Consider the following 1,597-nt stretch of genomic DNA (forward strand, 5'->3'; position numbering starts at 1 on the left):
GGTGTGAGCCACCACATCCAACCCTTTCTGTATGACTTTTTTTTTTTTTTTTTAGATGGAGTCTCACTCTGTTGCCCAGGCTGGAGTGCAGTGGCACGATCTTGGCTTACTGCAACTTCCGCCTCCCAGATTCAAGTGATTTCTGGCTAATTTTTGTATTTTTAGTCGAGACAGCATTTCGCCTTGTTGGCCAGGCTGGTCTTGAACTCCTGACCTCAAGTGATCTGCCCGCCTTGGCCTCCCAAAGTGCTAGGATTACAGGCGTGAGCCACCATGCCTGGCACTTTTCCATATGTCTTTGAACAAATTATTAACTCTTTTTCACCTTGGTTTGCTTTCTGGAAATGGGGCTGAGAATACCTAACTCCTAGGATACGTCAAAGGATTAAATGAGGCAATCAGTAAATTGCCCAACACCATTTCTGGCACAAAGTAGATACTTGGAAAACAATTCCTTCCCTTTCTTTCCCCAAATGTCAAGGTGCCAGCATTTCTTCCCTCAATGGCTTCCCCTCCCAGTAGAGATGTTCATCTCACCGAGAGTTAGAAGGCATGGCGGTGGGGGAGGGGAAGTTGGGGATTTTCTGTGAGCTGTCAGGCACCGTGCTAGACACTACACATTATTTCACTTATTAGGAAGAAACACACAGAAAATGGTGATGACTCAGACCTGCCCTGAGCTCTCCTGCCCTCAATGCAGTGGGCTACAGACACTCAGCCCCATGCTCTGTCCTTCACTGGATTTCTGTCTCTCAGAGCCTGGCCACGGAGGGGGATGTGATCCTTCTCCCTTCTGGCTGTCCTTGCAGGCTAGCCCACATACCCCTTTTCAAAGAGTTTCACAGAGAGGCTTAGGAAGGAAGCCTTAGAAAGGAAGTGACAAAGTTTCAGAATCTTACAGGATTCTGTAGTTGTAGTCTGGATCTGCTCTTTTTTAGCTTGTCCTGGGAAGCCCCTTGGCTTCTTGCCTATTACTTCCATTCTCAGGGACGGGGGTCCCAGTCCCCTGCTTCCCCACTATGCTGCTTGCCCTGCTTTCTAGTGTTCAGGTTAGAATATTAGGGCCCTTAGAACCTTCCTAGGCATTCATTGCATTTTTGAGGCTCTCCAGCTTGCATGAAAAAGTCCCCTTGGGGAATTTCCTCAAATTAGGGTTTGGAAATTCTGCACCGTAGTCATTCCTTCTAGTGTCAGCTTTGGGTGGTGAAAAGAGCAAGGAATGGGAATTAAGAGACCTAAGCTCTAGTCCCATTGTAGCTCCAAACCCACTTGTTACATTTTGGCAAACCACTTGCCCTTTGTAGGCCTAAGTTTCCTCATCTGTGAAATGAGGGTCTGACAATGTTATTTATTTCCCTCTTAGTTAAAAGATACAAAAGTAAAGGATTTCTAGTATACTAGAGTGAGATTTGGGGGTAAGTTTCCTGTTTGCTCCTAAAATCAGTTCACATTACTTCTCCTATGGGTAAGGCTGAGGGAGTAACATACCTTCTTTCCCTCGTATCCATCAAAGGCCTAGGACTCACTTTACCATTTAGCTCATGAACTTCTGTGAGCAGCACTGTCCTCCTCCGCTTACCCACTCATTCCTACCTTT

General features: G+C 46.3%; 1 annotated feature.

Moving 5' to 3' along the window:
- Positions 328-528: a silencer, noted in NCBI's record as "peak2821 fragment used in MPRA reporter construct". NCBI's record gives its function as "represses an SCP1 promoter by STARR-seq MPRAs in K562 erythroleukemia cells {active_cell/tissue: K562}" and the evidence as "EXISTENCE:reporter gene assay evidence [ECO:0000049][PMID:32103011]".

This window comes from Homo sapiens, chromosome 17, assembly GCF_000001405.40.
Source record: "Homo sapiens chromosome 17, GRCh38.p14 Primary Assembly".
Lineage (NCBI taxonomy): Eukaryota > Metazoa > Chordata > Mammalia > Primates > Hominidae > Homo > Homo sapiens.